Genomic DNA, 26,993 nt, shown 5'->3' with positions numbered 1-26,993 from the left:
AATTTACAATACTTTCAATTTATGATGAGTTTACCTGGACATAACCCCATCATAAGCTGCGGAACATCTGTATACAAAAAAATGGATTTGTAAAATATAATGGGTTTCTCAAATAGTCGTTATTATATATATATATATATATATATATATTCATATTCATTTTGAATATGAAGAAATATGTGCAGGGAGGTTAAGTGACTTGCCTTAGGTCACAAAGCTAATGAATGAGAGAACCAGAGCTCAAATCGATTGTCTAATCTGCCTTCCACTTCACCACAGCTGCCACCATGAAATAGTAACAAGAAAAAATATGCATGATCATGTGTCGGGTCAAGTTGATGGACAGGTGTCTCATACCAGGAAGCTTTTCTATCAGGAATAGACCTTCACAACAGTCACGGATAATGTATTTACTGTTATGGTTTAAGAACAGATTAAGCTAAAAAGTTTGAATGTGTTTTAAAACATTTTAACTCATTTCTTTGCTGGAATAGATGATAAATTTTAAGTCATGTTTTTCAAAAAAGAGAAACTGAGCATGCTCAGGCTGATGTGGGCTATAGGGACACTTCCATCATTGCACTCTTCCCTTCCTCAGATGCCTCAGGACCACTCTTCTTATCATCCTGTGTTGATCACTGATTTATGGTTCCTGCCAAAATCCACTGAGAGCATACTCTGCTCAGAACACACAACACACCAAGAGAAATCTCTCCCCAATGAACCAACAAGCATCAAGGGAGACAAATGAGCAGATAGGCAATTTCCCTACTCTATGATAAGGGCCACGAGAGGCTAAAGGAGCAACACCCAACCCCAGTCTAGGTGAGGTTGGGGAGGCTTCATGGTGGAAATCACATCTGGCCAAATCCTAGCGGCTGTCTGGTCCTACAATCTGTCCCCAGCCAGTATGTCTACCTTCTGGCCTCCTTTCACTGCCTTCCATCACCACTTGTCTCCTCACCTGGAGTGTGAATTCCTCAAACGGAAGGACCATGCCGCCTTCATCTGTGCATTCCCCACAGCACCCAGCCCAGCAGCTACAGCCAAATGACAGACTCCCAATCTAATGCCCTCACCACTAGATGGCTGAGCCTGGCTGGGGAAAACTATGCTGGAGCCAGACATCCTGCCAGAGTTCCAGCCTGACTGTAAGCTGTGCAGGGAGCCATAGAGTGTTGCCCAGGAAAGAGTTATCTATGAACCGACAACTGAGAGAACCAGTGTCTACACACCCTTCCTTGCAGGTCACCACGTCAGGGGTGGGGCAAACAACTTAAGACTAATCACAAAGCAGGTTGTTTTCACCTAAGAAACCCCACCAGCAGCTTAGCAGCTTAGTCTGCACCTTCCTTCCCAAACCAGTGCTCCTCCCTGCATTTGGCAGGCACCAGAGCACAAGGTGTCCAGGTCTGAAAACTTCTGGCAGTTCTGCTCCTTCCTCTCCCTATGGCCAAGAGCTCAGTAGCAGTAGCCTGCAGATTCTTCCTGTTCTTTCTCTCAAATCTGTACCTTCTCATCCACCCTTGCCACCATCATTCCAGGGTGGGCCTCCCTCATCTCCTGGCCCTCATTTTCTCCCAGCTTCACCCCATTCTCACATCACAGCTGCTCTCTCCTCCACAGCTGGCCGTGGTCCCTCCCTCTATGATTTCACTGTGTCTACCAACACAGTGATCAAAGGAGAAGGAGGCTGGGAAGAGCTGAGGGCTATAGGATGATCTCTGCTTAAAGACACAAGCGGCTCCAGAGACTGGTAAATTTTGAGAGAGAATCAGAAGCCAGAAAAAAAAAGCTTAGGTTTCATTGCAGAGTGGTCAATTTTTTAGCCTGGAATTCAAAAGCATCAATAATCTAGCCCTCATCCCTCACCCAATCCCTCTTTCTAGCCACTCTTGCTGTTCCTCCAGTGTGTCCTGTGCATACTCCCCTTGGCATCTTCCCTCGTGTTACTCCTCCCCCAGGACTACTCTTCTCTCAGCCCCTGTCCCATATGCTCAATCAAGCCTATCAAATCTGACCCAACCTACAAATCTCACTTCAAATCCTATGTCACCCATGAAGTTATTCTTAAGAGTCCAGCCAAGAGGGAGCCTGCTGTTCTGAAGTCCCCCGTGCAGCACTGCCCACACATGCTACCTCACCTCAGTGCTGGTTGTGAACACTTCTCATGTTCCTGCCCAGATTGTGGTTATGTTCCCAAGCAGCTGTCATCGCTGTGGTTCTACCAAGAGTAAGGCAGAGTCGGGTGGTGACAAGAGGGGAGGCTTTGAGACTAAGCTTATCTGGGTTCCAATAGGACTATATCAATGCCCTTAGGGAAGTTATGTAGCCTCTCTGAGCTTCCTTTCCACATCTGAAAACAGACTGGCTATCTATTTTACAGGGCTTTTGTTAGATTTACAGATAATATACATAAACCACAATAATTATTACTATAATCATAGCACTAATCGACCTAAAATATTTCTTGGAGTGATCATAAGAAACAAATAAGATAACATATGAGACAGAACTTCATAGAATATAAAATTATTGTGTTAATTTTTAACAAGAAGACTTGGAGTATGTTTGTGGGGGTTTTTTTGTTTTGTTTGTTTGTTTGTTTGTTTGTTTTTGGCAGAGTCTCGCTCTGTCTCCAGGCTGGAGTGCAGTGGTGCGATCTCGGCTCACTGCAACCTCCGCCTCCTGGGTTCAAGTGATTCTCCTGCCTCAGCCTCTCAAGTAACTGGGATTACAGGCATGCACCACCACACCAAGCTAATTTTGTATTTTTAGTAGACACAGGGTTTCACTATGTTGGTCAGGCTGGTCTTGAACTCCTGACCTCAGGTGATCTGCCTGCCTCGGCCTCCCAAAGTGCTGAGATTACAGGCATGAGCCGTGTCCAGCCCATTTGTGTTCTTCTATCAAATGGCCATATGTTGGTCATATGACCATACATTGGTCACATGATACAAGACCTCACAGATGCCCCACTAATTACCAGCCAGTACATCCTCCAACAGCTAAGCACTTTAGCTTTCAGAATATCTGTGCTCAAAGCTGTTAGAATGAATTCACTTAAAAGTCAACCAATAAAACTGGTGGAATCCTATGCTCAAACTGAGGTTTTGGTCCATATGGTACCAGACACTAGTTCAACTTAACAACCTATTTTCACCTATATATATATATATATATATATTTTTTTTTGGCGTCTTGTACACAGAGCATTACTTTTCTCACTGCTCAAGCCCAGAGAAATGCTGCCAAAAGCAAGAGAAAATGGGGTAGGATGTCAACCTAAATCACAGCCTCCATCTCAAGCCAACTAGGTAATCTTTCCAGCCCCATATTCAATCCTCTGGTTTCCAGCCAAGGATTTCCTGCCTGGGCCACTCAAGAGAAAGTAAACCCCACTGTCAAGCTATTCCCACTGTGGCCACCAGAGGGTCCCACAGCATTAGCTACAAAGCAAGAACACACCCTTTCCCAGTAAATTGTCCATTTTAAATATTTCCAGAAAGCCTTATGGCAGCCTCCCCAGCTTTCAGCCAATAGGACTGCCCAGAAACCCCAGAGCTAGCTGCTGCTAACATTGTTGAGGCGTCAGTTCATACCAAGCAGCCAGCATTTCACAAGGGGTTTGAGTCACTGGGGCCCCACAGAGTCCAATTTCTGTGGGTCTGAGCTCTCCCCAGCCACATTCCAGTATCATCAATGAACAAAGAGTATCTGTGGCTTCAGTAACTGTTTCCCTTTGACACAGCATCCAAATGTTTGCCTGGAACACCACTTGCTCTCAAGTTTTAATGAAGAGAGGAGAAATGCACCCTATCAGTCTGGCAGACCACAGTCCATGATAGGCAGGTCATGTCTTGCAGAGTTCTCCCCGAGTGCCAAACACTGGGATTCAGACAAGCTAGCATTCCGTTCTGCCTGATCACTTCACTGAAGGTGAAGAGTAAGTTGTCTTCTCCTTGGAAAAGGACATGTCCAAGATCACACAGCTAATGAGGGGCAGAGAAAACGTGATTTCCTCCCAAGCCTGTCTGAAACTCCAGAGTCTGCACTTACAACCACTATATTACATAATTGTTTTATTTTTTCCATTACCAACAAAAAGGGTTGACCAGATCCCTGTAGCTCAGCTGTACTCCCTCTCGGCCTCATCCCATGTCACACTTGCCTTGCTTCAGACACACTAGTGGTTTTTCAATTCCTCTAACAGACCCAGCTTCTCCTCATCTCTGGGCCTTTTCATGGGCTTTTTCCTCCCCTTAGGACACTTCCTCCCACCCCTCCTTTATTTGCAATCCTAGTTTCTCTTCCTCCTCTAAGGCTGGATTTAAGTATCCCCTTCTCAGAGAAGTCTTTCCTGATTTCCTACCTAAAATGGGTCCCTTCAATTCTCTCACTCAGACTCTTGATTTCCCATGATGGCACTCATTATAAACTTACCAAATTTTTGTATTAGTTTCATTTTCCCCTCTATTTCTATTTTATTTGCCTTCCTGAGGTAGGAGGTGGGACTTGATGCCAGAGGCGGAGCTCAGACACCAGATCAGATTGAGGACTAGCTAAAACAGGGCTTGGGCAAAAGCAGCTTTCAATCAGACATGCCCATTAGTGTGCCATGTCAATTTACCATTGCCATGGCAATATCTGGGCAGTTACTACCCCTTTCCATGGCAATGCCCCAATGACCCAAAATCTACTACCCCTTCCCTAGAAATTTCTGCATTAAACCACCCCTTAATCTGCATGCAATTAAAAGTGGGTTATATAAATACAACTGCAAAACTGCCCTGAGCTGCTGCTCTGTGCCTACTGGGTAGCCCTGCTCTGTAGGAGTACTCATGGAGCTATAACACTGCCTCTTCACTAAAGCTGTTTTCTTCTACCTCTGGCTTGCCCTTGAATTTCCTAGGCAAAGCCAAGAACCCAGTGGGCTAAGCTCCACTTTGGGGGTTGCCTGCATCATTTCCCACTATAATGTAAGGCCTGTGAGTGCAGAAATTTGTCTTAGTCATTGACATATCTCCAGGACCCATAACATGCCAGGAATTAGTAGGTACACAGTAAATATTTGATAGATTATAATTGTTAGAATTTGCAGCTCACCTGTAGGAGAAGACAGGTGGTTTTCGACCCCAATCTAACAGCTATCCTATTTTTAAAAACAAATTTAAAAAGCTACACTTCTTCAGCTTCTGCAGCTCCAAGAGATATGTTAGCACAGCAAGCACAGCCTTGGTGGAGTCCTCCCAGTACCCTAGACAGAAGTCTGCTGAAAGGCATTCACGAATCACACACACTAAAAACCCTGGGTGACAGAAGAGCCCTGTTTGGCTTCCTGACAACTGCCCCTCCACAGAGTGGGAGATCACACAGAGGAGGTGGGGATCTGCCTTCCAGAACCTGCTGCTTGCTGAGCTGGATGGCTTCAAGTTCATTAGATGGTTCAGTCTTTTCCATCATCCCAGAAGATAGGTGGAGACCCAGGTTCATAGTGGTGAAATGAATTGCCCAGAGCCATGCAGCTAATAATGCCCTTTTTCACATTCTTTAGCGGCTCTTATTACCTTAGGAAACTCCTTAGCAGAATATCTCAGGCACCCCAGGAAAGACACCTTCTCTCAAGACTCATCCCCATCCAAGACTCTAAAGGACGCTGCACTCTCCTCATGCAGAACAGCAGGTAGTTCCTGGCACAGACATAGTACCTCACAACTCCATCAGGCACATGCCTTTCCCTCCTGTCTGCCCCCACACAATGGGGCTTATTCCTACTTGTCCCTTAAAATCCACATAAATAAGTGAAAAAAGATAGGTCCTGATAGAAACATATCATAAGGAAACAAACATGAGGGCAGATATATTTATTCAAAAGTAGTCTCTGATATATAGTTAGCTTTGACAGTAAAAAATTAGAAACAACCGAAATGTTCAAAAAAATATGGGAAATGTTTAACAAATTATAGGATTTCCCTATTTAGGGGCTACTAATACAGCCATACCTGGGTTGGTTGGTTTGTCTTCCTTTTTGGATTGCCAGCAAAAAGTCTTGACCAGATCACTGTAAATCAGTGATTCTCAACTGAGGAGGCAGGAAGAAGTGCTAAGACTCCTTCCCAAGGTATTGCAATTGGTAGGTAAAGTTTATACAACTATGATTCATGCTGTTGACATGGTGTCTGGGCAGACAGAATGTTGAGCTGGGTTTTCACAGGTTTCCATGTGGTACAGGGCACAGCTTGATACACATCAAGAAACAATGACACTATGCATTTGCTAAGACCTGTGTGAACTTTGCTTCATAAGTATCTAAAAGAGTGACCAGGGCAGTAAGTAGTTCTGCTCAAACAATGACACTATGCTGAGGTGTCATCAGTATAATAGTGTAATTACTACACATGCAAATTAATCCTTTCAAATGTGCAGCCAAAAATACTAGCACTCAATACCAGCACTTTGTTAAGGTTATGCTGTAGCAAATAAACATTCAAATTCCAAGGTTCTTTCTCACCCACATAGCTAGTCCAATGAGGATGTTCCTGCTCAGCAAGTGATTTTCCTCCATACAGTGATTCAGGTACCCAGGCTCTTTCCAATTATGACTCTTCCATCCTTAGAGCCTTGGAGTCCTGTCAGGTGGAGAGAAAGAATATGGGAAAGTCACCTCTTTACTGCCTTGGCCTGCAAGTGACACATATCACTTCCAGTCCCATTGTGTTGGTGGCTAGTCACATAGTCCTACCTAGGGGTATGAGGTGGTAGAAATATAATCCCTAGCTGAGCGGCCAAAACTCTACACAATGAAAAGAGGAACACACATTTCTGGTAGATAGCCCACCTTCTGTGCCACAGCCACAAACCCAAAAAAGTTGAGGGTAATAGGATTTTGTGGCTGTGCCACATGGAGAAGTGGTAAAATTCCCAATACTGCCTCACTAGTGGATCAATCTCTCCAGCTCCCAACATTTTGTACATTGGAACCTACTTCAGCCCTGGTAGAAGATTTGAACATTGCTTTCTCATCATTTCAGAGACCACATGGATGGGGCCTCTGCTCTCATTCCTCCAGTGGCCATTCAGTTGGCTACCCTCCTGCTAAGACACTATCCTTGCTGGGCAGCTCAGGCTTAGGCACTGGTCCCTGATGCCATCAGTTTTCTCTAGGGAAGCAGAGCTGGCTTCACTGAATGCATGTAGTTGACAAGGTATAACTACTTCCTGGAGAAAGAACTGCCTGGGACCCCTTTTCCTAGAGAGACTATAAGCATGGCTGATACTTGAAGCTTTATGGACCTGCTAGTACACAGAGTCATTAAGAAACCACATGAGGCCAGGAAGAGCAAGGTGTGCTGACCATTTTCATCACTGTATTCCCAGTACTCAGCACAATGTTTTAGAAACCCTGCAGCATCCTCCTGGAGATGCACCCACTAGGGCCTTAGAGTTCTGCTGGCAGATTGGAGAAGAGAGAAAAAAGAAGACACAGTACAGTACAGTTGAACAGTTACTTGTCAAATAAAAAGGTGAAAAGAATGATTTAAATGAATAAACATATGATCTTGATAAATATTTAGTAACATAGGAAAGAGTAAGAACAAAAGGAAAAAGTATGGGACAAAAATAGAAACAGTCATGTGTCGCTTAATGATGAGGATACGTTCTGAGAAATGTGCCCTTACACGATTTCATCCTGCAATCATCATAGAATGTACTTGTACAAACCTAGATGGCATAGTCTACTACACAGCTAGGCTGTATGGTACAGTCGAGGACTCTGAGGCTACAACCCTGAATAGCATACTGTAGGCAATTGTACTACAATGGTAAGTATTTGTGTACCTAAACATGGAAAAAGTGTAGTAAAAATATGGTATAAAAGATTTAAAATGCTATACAAATAGGACACTTACCATGAATGGAACTTGCAGGACTGGAAGTTGCTCTGGGTGAGTCAGTGAGTAGTGAGTGAATGTGAGGGCCTAGGACATTACTGTACATTACTGTAGACTTTAGAAACACTGTACACTTAAGGCTACACTATGTTTAAAACAGTTTTTCTTTTATCAATGATAAATTAACCTAGCCAGATGCAGTGGCTAATGCCTATAATCCCAACACTTTGGGAGGCCAAGATGGGTGAATCACATGAGGCCAAGAGTTCGAGACCAGCCCGGTCAACATGGTGAAACCTCATCTCTACTAAAAAAAACAAAAATTAGCCAGGCGCTGTGGGACATGCCTGTAATCCCAGGTACTCGAGTGGCTGAGGGACAAGAAGCACTTGAACCCGGGAGGCGGAGGTTGCAGTGAACAGAGATCACACTGCTATGCTCTAGCCTGGGCGACAGAGGGAGCCCCTGTCTCAAAAAACCAAAATAATAATAACAAATTAACCTTAGATTACTGTAAATTTACGTTATAAACTTGGAAATTCCTTTTTCTTTCCTTTTTCTTTTTTTTTTTTTTTTTGAAATGGAGTCTCACTCTGTCTCCAGGCTGGAGTGCACTGCCACAATCTCGGCTCACTGCAACCTCCGCCTCCCGGGTTCAAGCGATTCTCCTGCCTCAGCCTCCCAAGCAGCTGGGAGTACAGGTGCGTGCCACCACGCCCGGCTAGTTCTTTCTCTGTAAGATGGGGTTTCACCACGTTGGCCAGGATGGTCTTGACCTGTTGACCTCGTGATCCGCCCGCCTCGGCCTCCCAAAGTGCTGGGATTACAGGTGTGAGCTACCACGCCCAGCCTAACTTGTAAATTCTTTAAATGTTTGACTCTTTTGTAATAACACTTAGCTTAAAGCACACATTATACAACTGTAGAAAATATTTTCTTTCTTTATATCCTTCTTATGTAAGTTTTTTCTATTTTTAAAATTTTTATTTTTTTTTAAGTTTTTTGTTAAAAACTAAGACACACACACACAAAAAAAAAAAAAAAAACTAAGACACAAACACACGTATTAGCCTAGACCTGCACAGGGTCAGGATCATCAATATAACTGTCTTTCACTTCCACATCTGGTCCCACTGAAAGGTCTCCAGGGCAAAAACACACATCTCCTGTGATAACAATGACTTCTTCTGGAATACCCCCTGAAAGACCTGCCTGAGGCTGTTTTTTAAACTTTTTTTTAAGTTTTACTGTTTTTTTAATAAGTAGAAGGAATACACTCTAAAATAATGATGAAAAGTATAGTGTAGTAAATACATAATGCAGTAACAGTCATTTATTACCATTATCAAGTATTGCATACTACACATAATTGGTATGTGCTATATTTTTATACAACTGGCAGCACAGTAGTTTGTTTACACCAGCATCACCACAAACACATGAGTAAAGTATTGCGCTAGACAGCTACAAGGTCACTAGGCAACTGGAATTTTTTTAGCTCTATTATAATCTTATGGAACCACTGCTGAATACATGATCCATCGTTGGCTCAAACACTGTTATGCAGTGAATGACTGTACTTAATTTTATAATCAGTATGATCACAATTATGCAAATATTTGTTACATATGCATAAAAAGACTAGAAATATGAAAATGTTTATCTTTGGCTCATGTATTTATAAATCATTTTTTATACATTGATATATTTTCCAAGCCTTCTAAGAATGGAATCTTTGTACAGATTAAAAAGTTACAATAAGTGTTATTGTTGTTTTTAAATTTCTACCCAATGTTGCTTCCTGCAGAAATTATTCTGTGACCACTCCAAGAGGACTTGGAAGCCCCTCCTCAGTGTTCTCCTAGTATCCAATAGTATCCTCTACCATTCACTAAGCACACTGGATTTTAATTGTTTGCTTATCTAACGCCCAATACTTGGAACTCTTCAGAGAAAGAGACTGATTCTCTAATCCCTGAATTCCCAGGCCTACCACATACACTAAAGCACTCCTAAGGTCTGTGGACCAGATGAAGAAATCAGATGAGTAGGGGTACGCAAACCCAGGCATTCCCATTCTAAACCCAGTCGCATTGCAATCCCTGCAACAAAAGGGATCCGAGATTTCCTCCACTGGTGACTGTGACCTGGGGACTGGGAAGTACTGTATACAGGAAGATCTTGAAGAGCTGTCCCCTTGAATAGTCAGCACCAGGGTTGCACGGAAAGTAATAGCTGAAATCCAAGTTGGGTTTTCCTGGCAACAGCCAATATTAGTCAGAGGTGGCACTTGGAGGATTCCCCAGGTCTGCTCATTCCTTTAGGATCATTCATTCCTCCCAAGGCCTCCCTTGGGAACAAAGGAAAACCCCAGAGTTTGGGATTGGGCTCTTTTCCACCAACAGCTGCTAGTAGTTTGTATTTAACCCTGAGTCACAATTAAAATAAAAGAGGGCGGGCGGGGGAGGGGCGAGGAGTTGGTAAGCATCCCCTAGGAAACACTTAGGTTTTCTCTAAATTTATTCCAGAAAATTCTTCTAAAGGACTTTTCAAGGACCACAGCATACTGCCTTGGAAACTTAGTTTTTAACCTTTTTCTTTTCTTTTTTTCTTTTTTCTTTTTTTTTTTTTTTTTTGAGACAGAGTCTCACTCTGTCACCCAGGCTGGAGTGCAGTGGTGCGATCTCGGCTCACTGCAACCTCTGTCTCCCAGGTTCAAGCGATTCTCATGCCTCAGTCTCCTGGGATTACAGGCGCGCATCACCACTCCCGGCTAATTTTTGTATCAGTAGAGACAAGGTTTCACCATGTTGGCTAAGCTGGTGTTGAACTCCTGACCTGAGGTGATCCGCCCGCCTCGGCCTCCCAAAGTGTTGGGATTACAGGCGTGAGCCACCGCGCCCGGCCAGTTTTTAACACTATTAGCCACACTGAAACTGAACTATTGATCAAGTGACGCCACACAAAGGGGTAAATCCCCTGTTCAACAAAGGGTTTGTGACGCCCCTGGGTGCTGACAAGCCAAACCGCACCCTCCCTGCGGCACCTCGCGGGCCGGTGGGGCGGGAAGCCCGGCTTCTGGGGAGGTGCCGCCCCTCCACTGGCGCAGGCCGCCGAGACCCCCAGACGGACCTCCTAGGGCTAATCTGATAGTGCCTCTGAGGTCGATAGGACTCCACGTGCCACTCCCTGCAGGGTCATCCAGCAAGTAATTCCTAGACCCGTAGGTGGCCGCAGAGCCGGTTACCTCTGGTTCTGCGCCAGCGTGCCCCACCCGCAGGACGGCCGGGTTCTTTGATTTGTACACTTTCTAAAACCAAACCCGAGAGGAAGGGCAGGCTCAGGGTGGGGATGCCCTGAAATATTCGAGAGCAGGACCGTTTCTACTGAAGAGAAGTTTACAAGAACGCTCTGTCTGGGGCGGGCGAGGCCTCTGCGAGGCGGGTCCGGGAGCGAGGGCAGGGCGTGGGCCGCGCGCCCGGGGTCGGGGGAGTCGGGGGCAGGAAGAGGGGGAGGAGACAGGGCTGGGGGAGCGCCCTGCCGAGCGCCCGCCAGGCTCCTCCCGCTCCCGCGCCGCCTCCCTCTACCCACCCGCCGCACGTACTAAGGAAGGCGCACAGCCCGCCGCGCTCGCCTCTCCGCCCCGCGTCCAGCTCGCCCAGCTCGCCCAGCGTCCGCCGCGCCTCGGCCAAGGTGAGCTCCGCCCGGCCCACGCGCCCCTCCTGGGTAGTCCCCAGGCCCGGACCTGCTGCCCGGGGAAAACCCTGCACCCGGCTTCGCGGGGCGTCCGGAGCACCGCGGGGCTGGGCGGGGAGCGGCTGGTGGGGAATCCGCTGCTCAGTGCTCCGGGCCACACCCAAACGAGGCCAGCAGCGCCCCTCCCCGGCCCGGGCGCGGCCGCCCCCAGACCCACGCGGACCAGAGGAGGGGGCACTTGTTCTTTAGGAGGGGACCGTGGTATTGGTGCGCCTGAACCTCTTCCCTCCTCCCTTTATGTTTGCGTTGCTTTACTCCCACCTTTCCTACTTTCCCACTCGTCTCTCGGGTTACCGAATCCCTCCTACACGCCCCTGCCCTGGCTGGCGTGTTTCTTGGTGGGTTCCGCTCGCAGGCCGGGTCTGCATGTTCGTAGCCTGCTCCCGGCTGTACCGCCCAAGTAGGCGCGGGTAGGACGAGTAGGCAGCTGGGGCGTCCCTTCCGTAACCCTTAGTCCGTCGGCCAAACAGGCGTTTCTGGTCGGGGCTTCCTGTTGTCTGCTCGACGGAAAGGGTCTTCCTGCTGAGGGAGGGAGGTCCACTTGTTTTCTTTCTACAGCAGTTTGGCTGGGGTTTGTGGGAGAGGGCCCTGTGTGACGTGGTTTCTCTACTGAAAGGGTTCCCTTGCTGTCTTAATAAGTGGAACCAGAAAGAGATGGAGGAAGAGCAGGCTTGATGAAGGATCTTCCAATCATAGATTAATTTGGCCCGGTGCAGTGAAACAGACAGACGTGCCTTTGGTACTTGGTTCACCACCTGTGCTTTGGCCGAAGGAATGGCGCTGCCCCTAGCCGTGGACACTGCTGCCTGTCCAGCCTCAGTCCAGCTCTGCCTAAGTGAAACCAGGAGCTCTGCCTTGTTGGCTGGGGTGGAATGCAGAGCGCTCCAAGCCAGGCCAGCACAGGGGAGCCCTAAGCCAGATTCTGGGATGCATTAAGCCCACCCCGTTTTCTGCCCCCACCCAGTTCCGTCTCTGCGGGAGCTTCTGCAGGGCGTGGTTAGCACAAAGGGCTCCAGGATTCTCCCAGTGGTCTGAGGCCTGTGACTCAGCTGTGAGACCATGTGGGTGTGGCCGGTTGCAGATACTCTCGGTGGATGGTTTGGACAGAACACTCCCTGAAGGAAAAGGAGAACTGTGCCATCTCAGAGGGCATTTTCCAAGAGGAAGTGAGTCACACCTGGTCTGGCTGCCAGTCTGCAGGAGAGGTTTCTCGACTGAACTGCCGGTGAGGGCAGTAATTAGATCTGCAGGGCCTTGGCGAGACCGCTTTTCGTTATCGGCCAGTATGCGCCTGGCAGCCTGCCTCAGCCTTACTTGGGAGGTAGCTTTTCCCGCTAAGAGGTTTGCAGTTGTTGCGGATATTTTTCCCCAGAAGCTTGAGTTTCAGTCTCCAGGAATGGAGTTTTATGTTGTGCGTTTTAGGTGAGGCCAGGCTCATGGAAACACCCAGTCGGTGATCTTTGCCTCCAACATGTTTCAGCAAATTGCAAAAGATAATGCCAGGGGTTGGAGTGGGAATGAGTTCATATAACTTATTGGAAGTTTCTTCATCGGCCCTGCCCCCACAGATTCCTATCCAGTTTCTCTTTAATCATCCCTTCCAAATGGTGTATTTGTTCCTTCACAGCCAGAGGATAGTTTCTTCACTGTGGCCCTTGATCCACCATTTGGAGTTTCTTATCTAGGTTCTTACAATTTTTTTGGTCTACTGGGCATGAAGCAATTTTTGGGTCTTACCCTGCTTTCTGGGTGATGCTCTTCCTAGCTTTTCTCCGACACATCATATAGGCCCCTTTCCTCCCGTGTGCTGGCCAGCCTCCTAAGCAGCCACTCCAGTGAGGTCAGGGTGGAGCTGAGACTGTGTGCCTCCCTGCTTTCTACTGACAGTTCAAAAAATGTGACTTTTGTAGAGCACAACCCACTTGGTATACCCTTGGACACAGTCCAGTCTTTTAAAGCGTAAAGTTGAGAGAAACAATGGAATTCTTTCAGGATTATAATGTATAAATTAGCACTCAAAGTGCTGAGAAAGCTGGACTAAAATTTTAACATCTTAAGTTTCTCATTTTTCTGGGGACTCAACAAATTTAGGAATCCACATCAAAAGCAAAAAGAAAGAATGTACTTCTTTTAAACAATTTTCAGCACTTTCTATCCCTTTACTAAATAAATACCACCCATCCTACCAAAGGATTTAACTAAAAGCAGTTTTGACAGTAGCTATGTTGGCTGATTAGGCTGATGCCTAAGCATTCTTTAAGGAAAAATTGATGTAGTTGGTTAGATTGAAGGAGGTTTCTTCCAAGTTCTTTCTTCCTATTGAATTGCATCTGAAACGTTCCTTTGCTGCCCAGTTCTTTAGTGGGCAAGTTTTAGTTGGTGAGAGGTGAGAGAGACAGCCTGGATCCAGATCCATTGCTTCAACTCATTTTTTCTGAATTCCCTTCAGAGATCAAATTTAAGAATGCCTTCTGGGTTCAATTTTAAAAACTCCAAAATTTCTAAAGCAAAAGGAAGGAAACCTCAAACATATTTTAAATAACAGATGTTTGTTTTTACTGACACCCTGCCGTTTATTTTCTGGGTGGGCTGTAAGAAAACTAGGGTATGGACAAGACACAGAGGAGCAAAGCAAGTCCGACTCACTCTGCAGAAGTGTCCTCTTTGAAACTGCAGCCGGGATCTGGGCATAGGTCCAAAGCAAACATTTGAGATTTTTCAGGAGCAGACACTTTTCTGAGGAGGACTCCTGCTTGTCTGCTACTCGCAGGACAACCAAAATACATCATTATCAATTTCTTAACAATTCATCGAGCAGGCTCTATGAGGGCTGGGGCACTGGCTATTGGGACCCTGCTCAAAAAACCTGCAACCTAGTGAGGAAAGAAACAGAAACACAAATAACTAGAATTCAGGCCAAATGCTTTAATAGTATTCCATTAGCTGGTGAACTCCTCAAAGGCAAGCACCATGGAGAGCTTTGTGTGTGTGTGCATGTGTGTATGTGTGTGTGAACACCCTCATGCCTAACACCATGTCTGGGACATTCAAAGTAGGTGCTCAGGGAGGGAGAACCAAAAATGGAAAATTGAATTCCTCCTAAGGTAACTAAATTTGTGGAGTCCAGAATTGTTTTCCATAGAGAAAACTATGCAGAGAAAGATGTCTCCGCCTCCCTTCTTAAGACCTGTTGCTCAGACAAACATGTAGAGGGCATGTATAGGCATCAGATTAGAATACTTCAATAAAAGGTGAGTGGACAGCAAGGCTGTTATTATCCTGTGGAGCTCAGCAGTGAGATAGCAGCACTAGAAAAGCAAAAAGTAGAAGATGGGATGAATGAAACACGAGAAAATAGCAAGTGTTAGAAGAGAAGGAGCACAGTCATGTCATTCTGACTAGACCTGTTTAGCAGGACACATATTTTTCCTTTTGCGTATGGAATGTGCACTCCTGTGTACTCTATCTACTGTTCCGTTCATAGTTGAACACTTTTGGGGCCCCTTTCCTGGCCCTTCCCAGCTCTCACATCGTCCTCCTGAGCTCTGAGCTACAAGGCTTTCAGCCTAGTCCTGGGTAATCACACCTGCACCTCAGCTACTGCCCAAGGGATTGTGTGGTTCATTTATGCACATAACAGTTATATAGTGCTCCATGAATAAAAGCAGAATAATTTGTAGTTCTTAATCAAGAGAAGCTTAAATCTCAGGCAGACAAGTAAACAATTAAATGAAATTGAATGTTTCAGGTGCAAGAGTACGTTATTGGGGATAGAGAGGACACTGCAGCCCCTCAGCCCCAGCCCCAAGGCCCTCCTGTCAAAATGTGTCTAACCAGGATGCAGGAAGCCCACATCTGTCCAGGAATAGAGCTTGCAGAGTGGCTACGTGAGGGTGGAAATGCCAGATTGAAGTCCCTGAAGAACTTCAGTTTTGGCAGCTAGCAGTGCTGCAGACAGCCCTGCCCAGGCAAGCCCCACCCAAGAACGGAGGGCCAGGCAGGGCTGACTCAGTTGGGCAACCATTGGCTGCACTCAGACAAGAGTTACATGATTCATCCTCTAGCCAAGAGAACAGAGTTTTAATCACAACATTTCCCCCTTTCCTTTGTCTTATTTTAAAGCCAGTGTGCAACTCCTTCCCCAAAACAGAGTTCCTTGCTGTGGCCCTGGTCAGTGCCCTTTGGGGTACTGGTTGCTGAGGAGACAAGGGCTTCTCCACTGATTTTCAATGCTATTTTCACCTCCTGGCTACTCCCTCCTCTGCATCCTTATTGCAGAAGGCCTACTGGACACACAGGGAGTCAGCTGGCTGCAATATTCACAATCCATCCACTGAATAAAACCGCTGGGGGAGGAGGGGAGGGGAAGACCAAGTGGGAGAAGGATGTAACTTCAGAGAAGGAAGCTCCGTCACTTCGTAATGGCTGTGGGCAAGAGAGGCATGCGACTGAGTGACTTCAGACCTAAGCACTCACACAGTGTGAGGTAGACTCACCTTGCTCTCCTGAAGAAGATACTCAAGGGTGGCCAGGATTTCCTCAGCTGACAACTTGTATTTCTTAGAACCTCCTAAAATTAGCCTTTTTAAAATTTAGAGGTCCTTACCCTGCTGCATTCCCTTTCTTAATTCTGCACTTTCCTTCTGTCCTGTCATCTGAAAAAAGTAAACTAGGTACCCCACCCAGTTCCAATTTCTGGGATCTTTGGGAATTGATCCTGAAGTGCTCTGCTGCTCTGAACTTGAGCACAGGTATTTTTAAACCTCTGTGGTGTCTGACTCCTTTCCTGAGTTATTTAAGAACTGGGGTGGGATCCCACGTCCTTCTCCCAGAGGTGACTCGCCCAGTTCAGTTCTCTTAAATTGCTGGACTTGGAGTACCAGTCCAGGCAAGGCAGACTCTCTGTAAGCCCACTGCCATCTGAAACCCATATGAGGGATGGGGGATGAGCCAGATCTGAGCTGTGTCAGAAGAGAAGGAAAAGGGTGTGGTTCCCCTGGAATTCATCTCACAGCAGACCTTGAAGCATTAATTTGCAGCTCTCTCCAAGATAACTAACTGCCTTTCAGATGACTCATGCCAGATTCTGATTTATAGCATTCTTTGGCCTGCTGGTTCCCATACTTTTCTGGAGATTAAGGGGTAGAATTTACAATTCTTAAGTGTTAATTGCTCAATCCTCATGTTTACCCACTCCACCTTCTCCTCTGTAAAAGATAGCATTTGAGAATCAGTGTTGAACAGGCATCTCTCAGAGATAGGAACCAGACCAAAGCATGTCTCAGGTTCCCATTAGAGCTCTTCAGCAGAGGAATTTGCCAGCCCTTCAATCTAAGCTCAAAGCCTATTCTTGTGATTATTTATTTTTATTTTTTAGTGCTATATTACAGTCTCCATTCACGTTCACCTGTTTCCTATCCAGTAGTGATTTTAGGTGATATTAGCCAAAGCTTATCTGTTCTCGCCAAATGATTCCTTCCAATTAAGCCAAAATTCACTGAGGTTCTATTAAGTACCACGTACTGGGTCTTGTGAGACATATACCCCTAGTTCATTATACCCAAATGTAATGATCTGACATGTTTCCTTTCCTTTCTTATAAACGCTTCATGATGAAAGCTCTTGCTTTCCCACTGTACCCCAGACTGTGAGAGCAGCTCATCTGTCTAATGTCACTAAAAACATAGGAGGCCCTCAAATGAGTTAGGTTATAGTATTACTTGTTGCTTCTCAAGTGAACTAGACAATGGACTTTGAGTAGTTTTCTGTTTGGGTAGAGCAACTGTATTTTACTGCCAGAGATGCAACTGTCTTTATTGCAGTAAATAACAAGTTCAGAGCTTTAGTAAAGAATACATATAGGCCGGGCATAGTGGCTCACGCCTGTAATCCCAGCACTTTGGGAGGCCGAGGTGGGCGGATCACGAGGTCAGGAGATCGAGACCACGGTGAAACCCCATCTCTACTAAAAATACAAAAAAATTAGTCGGGCGCGGTGGCGGGCACCTGTAGTCCCAGCTACTCGGGAGGCTGAGGCAGGAGAATGCCGTGAATCCAGGAAGCGGAGCTTGCAGCGAGCCGAGATGGCGCCACTGCACTCCAGCCTGGGCAACAGAGCAAGACTCCGTCTCAAAAAAAAAAAAAAAAAAAGAATACATATATACCCAGCAGATAAATTCATTTGTAAGCAGATTTCTAAACCCTAGAATCACACTGAACCAAGTTACCACTTTAAGCTTAGAAGGGTGAAGTTTTCGTATTTACCAGACTTGACTGTGTGGATTGTTAGTATCAGCCATATCTAAGAATCCCATTTACTAGTGCCAAGAGAAATTATGAACTATCTGTTCTTTCAGTAGGTGCTTTGTCAGTTAAAAAGAGGAACACTGGGCCGGGCGCAGTGGCCTGTAATCCCAGCACTTTGGGAGGCCGAGGTGGGCGGATCACCTGAAGTCAGGAGTTTGAGACCAGCCTGCTCAACATGGCAAAACTCCGCCTCTACTAAAAATACAAAAAATTAGCCGGACATGGTGGCGGACGCCTGTAATCCCAGCTACCTGGGAGGCGGAGGTTGCAGTGAGCCAAGATCACAACACTGCACTCCAGCCTGGGCAACAAGAGCAAAGCTCCGTCTCAAAAAAAAAAAAAAAAAAAAAAAAAAGAGGAACACTGATGTTGCTTTTCTAAATTATTAGTTTCTATTCTTCATTAGATTATTCATGCAAATTAGCTGGAGTTAGCTAAACCCCTTTATTTACAGCACCAGTATCTGAGGTGTCTATTTCTACCAACAAGGGACCCAAACTGGGGTGGACTGGTTCTTAGATTCATTCACTGAATTTTAAAGCTGGAGAAGATCAGATGGATGATCTAATCTCCATCTTTCCAATTATCCTAAAAAGGCTGGCAATACATATGGCTTAAAAGTTAATGTAAATCTACAAAGATGAACCTGGAGGACGTTACGCTTAGTGAAATAAGCCAAGCACAGAAAGACAATTACCAGATGATCTCACTCATGTGGAATCTTAAACACTGAATTTCATAGAACTAAAGAATAGAATGGGCTGGGGTGATTGCATTTGAGTGATGTTGAGGAGCTATTGGTCAAAAGATTGAAAATTTCAGTTAGGAGGAATAAGTTTAAGAGATCTACTGTACAACAACGTGACTATAGTTAATTACAATGTATTGTATTCTTGACAAATAGTTAAGAGTGGCTAAGTGTTCTCACCACAGAAGTGCTAACTATGGGAGGTAATGCATATGTTAATTAGCTAGATTCAGTCATCCCACAATGTATATATACCTGAAAACATCATGTTGTACACATTAAATACATACAATTTTATCTTTCAATTTAAAAAAAATAAATTCATGCATAAAGTCTGCCAAAAAAAGTTAATGTAGACCCTGTTACTTTACATCCTTTAATAGGCTTCAACGGACCACACCAAAATGCCATCTCAAATGGAACACGCCATGGAAACCATGATGTTTACATTTCACAAATTCGCTGGGGATAAAGGCTACTTAACAAAGGAGGACCTGAGAGTACTCATGGAAAAGGAGTTCCCTGGATTTTTGGAAGTAAGTGTTGAAAAGCTTACAAAGAACCAGACATAAAAGTCAATGCTTCTAGGCCTTGGTTCCTTTTCCTTCTTGTTTCCATCCCTTCCCTGTGGAGGTCACCACTAGTGAATAAATGAATGTAGTCACCTGAAGGAATGAATGAATGACCTCATTCATTCATTTATTAAATAGTATTGAGTACCTGCTATTTGTAAGATACTGTTGAGGAAACAAAGTAATGAAGACACAGCCCCAACCTTCAAGGAGCTTACAGTCTGCAGGTGAAATAAGACTGCATACAAATAACCACAATATGAGCTGTTTGTTGGAAAATTCCATCGGGTTATCTGTGTCTGTTGTGACGATGTTGGGGACAGAGTTGGGAGAAAGAAAGCTTTTCACAAAAGAGTAGTCAACCAGAAAATGGCTACCTTCAGGTCCAAAAACCTGGTGGTGGAGATGCCACATCCTGGTCACATTCCATTTTGAGCAACTCGAATCTCCCTTCTTAAATCTCTTCAGATAAAGGGATTGTTTTTTCTTTTTCTAATACTACAAAGGAGCAGTGTCAGTCATCTACTGAATAAAAGCCACATATCACTCCAGAAATAACTGCTTTTCACATAATAATGCTCTGACAGCACAGGAGCAGTTTGAATTTATGTCTCACCTTTGACAGACTGAGAGATGCATGAAGACCTATAAGAGGACTCTGCCATCAGCTCAGATACATCACTCAGGACATGGGGCCACAAGGCACAGTTGTCCTTTTATATTCCAGGTTCTCGAGAGGTGGCTGTTGAATTCAACTGAAGGTGCAACATTGCATGACAAAATAGTAGACTGAAATGCAAGCCCTTCTTTCCCTACCACAATTGTAGTCACCTGAAAAGATTGTTTCTGTGCTTGGTGTTGAATAATGCATTAACCTGTAAAGGGTGAGAGGAGATACGGTAAAACGTTGGGTCCTGCCTCTTGTCATCTGACTGGTAAACGGCACATTAGTCCAGCCCCTGACTCCTGCAATCAATAAACATGAGGCTTTTTAGTATACTATAATTCGTATGTCATCAATATCAGTTAAATAAACAGATATAAATAGCCTAACTGCTCTCTCAGAGCTGCAGTTATTACCTAATGCTATCCCAGAATGAGTTAGAATATGCAGGTCCTCTGCTTTTGTAGAGTCCTGTGATATAGCCCCAGACCAGGAGTTAGAAGATCTGGCTCTGCCTTAACTAACAATGGGCAGGTTGCTTCAGCTCTCTAGTCTTCAGTTTCCTCCCCTGTAAAATTAGAGAGGGCTGGACATAATTATCTGCAAGGTCACTTTCACTTTCTATGATCATTCAAGACAAGCATTAAGATGCAAGGACAAAATGTGCTCATTGTAAGCCTGCCTGTCCTATAGACAAAGGCATTCTCAGTACACTAAACACTTGTTAAGAGTGTTGTTAAGAGCCAGAGTGAGTATCATGTAAGACACAGACCCTTTCTTCCTAAAGGCTTTGTGGCATCAGACACATAAAGGGTATATGTAGTGTGGAGCACTAACCATGGCAGGGTAATTTATTCCAGGCACAGAGTCATAATTCTGGAAACATCTAGACTCACTGCATTAACAGAGCATTTTGTTTCTAAAGTAGACCTCTTATGTCATCCAGATTTCACTCATTCTGACCACAGCCAGGAAGCTGAGGGTGAAGCCAGAATTAGCTGAAACCCACCAAGAGCTGCATAGAGCACGTTTAGCTAGAGTAGGAGTTTGCAGTGCTCATGTGGGAAATGCTGCTGCTATACTTTTAGGAATTTCTGAGTGCAATTTAGAAACATCTAGCACACTTGAAACACTGCGTATCATTTTCCTCACTCATGAATATAGTCATCAGAATTCATAAATAGTTTACCTGAGCCCTTTAACAACCTCAAATAGGCCATATTTCTCTCTCTGGTTGATGGCATGGACCCTACAGGAAAAACCACACCTTACCGCTTCTGACCAGCATCACTACAAAAAGGAGTGCTGAAGCCAATCACCATGTAAGCAAGATAAAAGCAAAGGGGGTCTTGCCTGCCCATCTCTGTTCCATACATTCTTACCAGGCACTGAGAGTCATGGGGAGTTTAAGACTCCATCCCACATACTCCTTTTGAAACTGGTCCAGTGTACAACATCCAGTGAAGAGTATAGGATGGCATAGACTTACCAACTCAAAGAATGAAAGGATTCTAGAAACATTATAGTCCAACCTCCTCAATTCATCGTTGATACACAAAGGCCCACTAAGCTGTGTGGTTCACTCAGCATCACGTGGCTAATATGATATGAAGCCACACTAGCTTGTCCTCAGCTGTGCCAAGAATGAGAGCTGCCTTCTCCAAACCTAAAACCAACCCATGGCATCATTAACACCTCTTTAAAATCCATAGGACAGTGATCCAAAACTTATTCCCTAAATCATAAATATCTTTTCATAAGGAGTTTCCTTTGTAAGGGATTTGACCATGCCATTAGGAATAAAATTTTAATAAGAGAATGTAAGTTTAAACCATAAAATGAGGAGCTTAGGGTGGTTCTTAGGCAGAATCTAAATATGAAATTACTGAAATGCTCCCACAAGGCAAAAAAAAAAAAAAATACATTTAGATGAACTCCAAAGGTTGCTTATGACCTAAAACAAGAGCTCAAGTAATTGGGAGATATATACACAGTTCTCAGCAGTACAAATCAAATAAGCTCCTCATTGCAACCTTTGACTTCTATTTCTTGCCTTTGTTCTTTTTTTTTTCAGAATCAAAAAGACCCTCTGGCTGTGGACAAAATAATGAAGGACCTGGACCAGTGTAGAGATGGCAAAGTGGGCTTCCAGAGCTTCTTTTCCCTAATTGCGGGCCTCACCATTGCATGCAATGACTATTTTGTAGTACACATGAAGCAGAAGGGAAAGAAGTAGGCAGAAATGAGCAGTTCGCTCCTCCCTGATAAGAGTTGTCCCAAAGGGTCGCTTAAGGAATCTGCCCCACAGCTTCCCCCATAGAAGGATTTCATGAGCAGATCAGGACACTTAGCAAATGTAAAAATAAAATCTAACTCTCATTTGACAAGCAGAGAAAGAAAAGTTAAATACCAGATAAGCTTTTGATTTTTGTATTGTTTGCATCCCCTTGCCCTCAATAAATAAAGTTCTTTTTTAGTTCCAAATTTGAGACAGAATGTTTGTTGTTCCCTCAGAAATTCTTGTTCCCCAAGAGGCAGCTTGCCCTTGGGCAGCCAGCACACAGCAGAGCTTTTCTTACACAGCAGAGCTTTTCTCACAGAACTGGCAAAATGAGAAAACACTCTTCATTCAGGCTTGGAGTCTGACTTCTCTAATTGTTCTGCCCTTGTAGCTGTGTCTATATGAAGGACTCAAACTTGAAGGATTAGGAGAAGGCTCTACAGGAATAGATGGTAAGTTTATAATTACTGGGCACAGTTTTGCCCAGTTAAATCAGTGCTTTTCTAGCCAGCACTTTGCATGCCTGCAATGTCTGAATCCAATTTTCATAGCAAAGTGTCAGCAAACCTAAGGCAGAACTAGGAGAACCAATCAGGAGAGGGTGTAGCTTGACACCTTGGTAATAACATCACATTAGCATCTATTAAGTCAACTCCCAGATGTCAGGAAATATGGTAGGCATGACTTATACACGGGGCAGTACACTTTTGTTGAAAATGAAGTGTCAGTACTGATGTCTTGATAATCAATGCAAAATGTTCCTCCTAGCCCTTTTTTGTGCCTGTTAGAAGCTTCAGGGTATATGTGCATCAATGCTATATGCTTATTAATAACACAGTACTCTATGCTTTTATGGAGAGGTGATATATGAATTCCATGAATTGGCACATAGCATTGTTCCAAGTAAATAGGTCAAAGAAGATGGAATATTTACTTTTTTTTTTTTTTTTTGAGACGGAGGCTTGCTCTGTCACCCAGGCTGGAGTGCAGTGGTGCAATCTCGGCTCACTGCAAACTCCACCTTCCCAGGTTCACACCATTCTCCTGCCTCAGCTTCCCGAGTAGCTGGAACTACAGGCGCCTGCCACCATGCCCAGCTAATTTTTTGTATTTTTAGTAGAGACGGGGCCTCACCGTGTTAGCCAGAATGGTCTCGATCTCCTGACCTTGTGATTTGCCCGCCTCGGCCTTCCAAAGTGCTGGGATTACAGGCGTGAGCCACCGCGCCCGGCCTGGAATATTTACTTTTTTGATTGGACACATCAATATTAACTCTGGGAAAAACTTCCATCTCACTCTGGGAAAAAGTGCAATATAAGGTTATCGATAGTCACAAGGAAAAGCATGCAAAAGAGAACAGGATAGTTCAAAACTGGCTTTGGTAGAAAGAAATCCATAATAAAAAAGGAAAACATTCCAACCATTTTATTTTTTCTCAGTCAACAAATGAACAGTGTAAAACAAACCATAGCTTTGCGGCTGAAGCATTATATCAGCAAGTTTACAAAGAGGAATTTATTACGGGAGTATTAATGAAGGAGGGGAGTTGATTAGTTAAAGAAGTGACTCTAGATTGACTCCAGGAATGACTTCCAAACCCATGCTACAGAACTGGGCCGCCAAGGAGCTGCTGGCTCAGGAAGCTGCCTGCTGAATGAGGAGCCATAGCCACAGCTGGCTGCTCCAGGACCATGGCACAGTCTGCACAAGCAAACGCACATCCCCATCACCCTCCCTCTTTCCACATACGGCTGGGCTCTCATATCCAAGTCTCAGTGAGGTGCATCTGACTGGCAGAGCCTTAACCACAACAAATTCCTAACCGCAAGGGACTCTGGGAAATAAAGTTCTAACATTTTCCAACCTTTGCACATTAGCAGCTGATTCTACCACAGTGACAATTCCTAATCCTACGTGAAGTCTTCCAACCTGGAAGTTAAAGAAATTGTGGCTCTAAGGAAAGGAGGCTCTGGAAGATGACGTCTGTAATAGAGACAAGAAAAAAAAACTGGCCCATCACAGTAAGGCAATCCATGAGAATTTGTGTCAGTCCAGATTCACCCCTTTGGTTAACCTGCCTCCTGGGCAACTGTGTTTACTGGGTATTAGGAGGATTAGTGGTCAACTCACAAATGAATGGGGAAGATTATAAAAGGGAGATATTATGAGCTCACATGTCCTGAAATCCATAGCAAACTTTCACACTCTAAGCCTCTTTTACCTGAAAACAAAAACACAACTATCCCAGGAGGAGGGAGGCTCTCAGGGTAAGAGAAAGGAAGCATCAACTCATCTTCACAGTGGGTGTGTAGATTCAGAAAAATTCTGAAGCAATGTGTTATTCCCAGCAGATTACCCCAAACTCTCATTCAGAAGGTGCCCAGTGCCAGGAAATGATCTGAGTCACTGTATTTGGGATGGATGTGTATGTGTATTGAGGGAAAGGGTTATGGCACCTTCCTCGCTTTGGCCTCATTGCTCATTTAGTAGGGAGCTGTATGAGGAAAATAAAAATGGTATTTATGGCTTGAAATCCCACATGGCTCTTTGTGCCAACAAAAACACACGGATCCCACAATCTGACCTGCTAAAACTGCTGTCTAGGCTTCAGGGGTTGCAGCCCAATGGCTCCCAAGGGGCAAAACTGCCATTATGCCAACAGTCATCAAGAGGAACCATCTGGAAAATTCCACTCATTCTGCTACATGGCTGAGTTGTAAAAAGTAGATCCCGCCCCTCCCCACACCCAGTTACAAAAAAAGAATGAATAGCAGTGCAGAAAGTCAGTTTCCAACACGCTGCAGAGCTGACCCTGAAAAACATCATTTTTCTCTCTTGGACCCACTCCCTTGTCCAAGTCCCCTGAACAGCGGCCAACTACCTGTGATTTAATAGTTTTCTACCTAACCCATCTCACTAGGAGACCGAGGACAAGTCTACAAACCTCTCTCATTCAAATTTGACCAATTCGTGATTGGTCAAGTAATTGTTCAAGTCCCTTCTCCAGCTCTTAACCCCACAGGGATAGTTGTGAATAGAAATTCATTCACTTGGCAAATATTAGCAAGGGCTACCATGTGAATGGCACCAAGCAATGTTCTGTATAAAGGCAGGTACGAAGAAGCAGATGACCACAGTGCCTGCTCAAGAAGATTACAATCTAGATTGAAAGATAATAGATAAAGCAGGCCAGGCGCGGTGGCTCACGCCTATAATCCCAGCACTTCGGGAGGCAGAGGCGGGCGGATCACGAGGTCAGGAGATCGAGACCACGGTGAAACTCCGTCTCTACTAAAAATACAAAAAATTAGCTGGGCGCAGTGGTGGGCGCCTGTAGTCCCAGCTACTCGGGAGGCTGAGGCAGGAGAATGGCGTGAACCCGGAAGGCGGAGCTTGCAGTGAGCCGAGATCATGCCACTGCACTCCAGCCTGGGCGACAGAGCGAGACTCCGTCAACACAACAGAGCATTGGCAAGGGAGACATGTGATGGGCACCTCTGGTCACTGTTGATAGGTATGTAATTCACACGACCTTTCAGAAAGGCAAAAGTTAGCAATATGTACCTGAATCCTTTAATGTGTTTTCTTTGACCCAGTATTTCTATTCCTAAGAATTTCTCTTAGCAAAATAATCAAAGATACTTATGATATTCATATACAAAGCTATTTGATGCAGCATTATTTAGAATAGCTAAAACCTAAAGAAAACCTCAATATTCAACAATGGGGTCATGGTTAAATAAGTTATGTTTAGATTGTTTAGATGTACATGGGATGCTATATGGCCCATCAAAACCATCACTTTGAAAAATATTAAATGAGATGGGGAAATGTCTATGTAAAGTAAAGCAGACTGCAAAATTGGTATATAATCGGATTCCTTTCTTTTCTAAATATGCGTGTCTGCTTGAGTGCATGCCTGCAAAGACACACACACACACAGAGAGAGAGAGAGAGAGAGAGCAAGAGTGAGAGCAAGAGCAAGCGAGCGAGAGAGAGAGAGAGAGAGAGAGAAACTAAAGGGAATACACCCAGCTGTATTTAGTTTCCAGAGTAGGAGTTACTGGCCAGGGAAATTGTTGCTCCAGAAAGACGTTTATGAGACTATTGTAATTTTCTTTATATACAGTGCTATATTATCTTAATTTTCTATGCAATTCCTTCCTAGCCCACCTACATGCACTTGCACTTTCACAATCCATAAAATTTTAAATAATATATTTTGAAAGAGCCTGTGTATTTATTGAGGGTCTACCATGAGTCAGGACCTGTATGAGATACTTTTTAAGCATTTATCTTACTTGGACCTCACAATAACCCTGTGAAGGTATTATAACATCCATTTTACAGATGACAAAACTAAGACTTAAGTAACTCCCTCAAAGTCCCACAGCACTTATTGTTTCAAGATTTAAACCCAGATATCAAGATAGTCTCCTTCCTTCCTTCCCTCCTTCCTTCCTTCCCTCCTTCCCTTTCTTTCCTTTTTTTCTTTTTCTTTTTTCTTTTTTAGAGTAAAGTGAAAAGCAAGGAAAGGAATAAAGAGTGGCTACTCCATAGGCAGAGCAGCTTGTATTCTGCAGTTGTCTCAAGGGGCTATTTGAGTAAATTAACTATCAACTGTGTTATTCTTTCAAAAAAGTAAGAGATTTCGTGGGTTAGATGAGGCTAGTCAGATAAGATTTTGTGTAAGAGATAAGATGTTATCTGGTCTTTGAAGATTGGAAGAAATTTAGATTTGGATACCAGCTAACATTGAGTTCTTACTACATTG

General features: G+C 44.5%; 1 protein-coding gene across 1 annotated transcript, besides 5 other annotated features; it reads left to right on the top strand.

Annotated features, from left to right (window-relative positions):
* Positions 6,070 to 6,364: a silencer, noted in NCBI's record as "tiled region #9275; K562 Repressive non-DNase unmatched - State 22:ReprW". NCBI's record gives its function as "represses a minimal TATA promoter and a strong SV40 promoter by Sharpr-MPRA in K562 cells {active_cell/tissue: K562}" and the evidence as "EXISTENCE:reporter gene assay evidence [ECO:0000049][PMID:27701403]".
* Positions 11,051 to 11,180: a silencer, noted in NCBI's record as "silent region_1334". NCBI's record gives its function as "represses an Ori minimal core promoter by ATAC-STARR-seq in GM12878 lymphoblastoid cells {active_cell/tissue: GM12878}" and the evidence as "EXISTENCE:reporter gene assay evidence [ECO:0000049][PMID:35858748]".
* Positions 11,311 to 11,360: a silencer, noted in NCBI's record as "silent region_1333". NCBI's record gives its function as "represses an Ori minimal core promoter by ATAC-STARR-seq in GM12878 lymphoblastoid cells {active_cell/tissue: GM12878}" and the evidence as "EXISTENCE:reporter gene assay evidence [ECO:0000049][PMID:35858748]".
* Positions 11,371 to 11,670: a silencer, noted in NCBI's record as "silent region_1332". NCBI's record gives its function as "represses an Ori minimal core promoter by ATAC-STARR-seq in GM12878 lymphoblastoid cells {active_cell/tissue: GM12878}" and the evidence as "EXISTENCE:reporter gene assay evidence [ECO:0000049][PMID:35858748]".
* On the top strand, positions 11,478 to 22,422 carry S100A10 (S100 calcium binding protein A10). Its single transcript, NM_002966.3, has 3 exons — positions 11,478 to 11,585; positions 19,086 to 19,238; positions 22,013 to 22,422. The coding sequence occupies exons 2-3, from the start codon at positions 19,107 to 19,109 to the stop codon at positions 22,172 to 22,174; spliced, it is 294 nt and encodes a 97-aa protein (NP_002957.1). The 5' UTR covers positions 11,478 to 11,585; positions 19,086 to 19,106; the 3' UTR covers positions 22,175 to 22,422.
* Positions 12,239 to 13,438: an enhancer, noted in NCBI's record as "P300/CBP strongly-dependent group 1 enhancer chr1:151964375-151965574 (GRCh37/hg19 assembly coordinates)". NCBI's record gives its function as "activates an origin of replication core promoter dependent on BRD2, BRD4, P300/CBP, MED14 and CDK7 cofactors, with strong dependence on P300/CBP, by STARR-seq in HCT116 cells {active_cell/tissue: HCT116}" and the evidence as "EXISTENCE:reporter gene assay evidence [ECO:0000049][PMID:35650434]".
* Positions 22,423 to 26,993: the final 4,571 nt, after the last annotated feature.

The sequence above is a fragment of the Homo sapiens genome, chromosome 1 (genome assembly GCF_000001405.40).
Source record: "Homo sapiens chromosome 1, GRCh38.p14 Primary Assembly".
In the NCBI taxonomy this organism is placed as follows: Eukaryota; Metazoa; Chordata; class Mammalia; order Primates; family Hominidae; genus Homo; species Homo sapiens.
The sequence above is the reverse complement of the archived record's forward strand: the minus strand, read 5'-3'. Positions and strand labels throughout refer to the sequence as shown.

What these genes read in the sequence shown, in the direction of transcription:
- S100A10 (NM_002966.3), top strand. Translation starts at nt 19,107, where the DNA reads ATGCCATCTCAAATGGAACACGCCATGGAAACCATGATGTTTACATTT. An exon ending in AGTTCCCTGGATTTTTGGAA is followed by an intron (nt 19,239 to 22,012) that starts GTAAGTGTTGAA and finishes TTTTTTTTTCAG; the next exon opens with AATCAAAAAGACCCTCTGGC.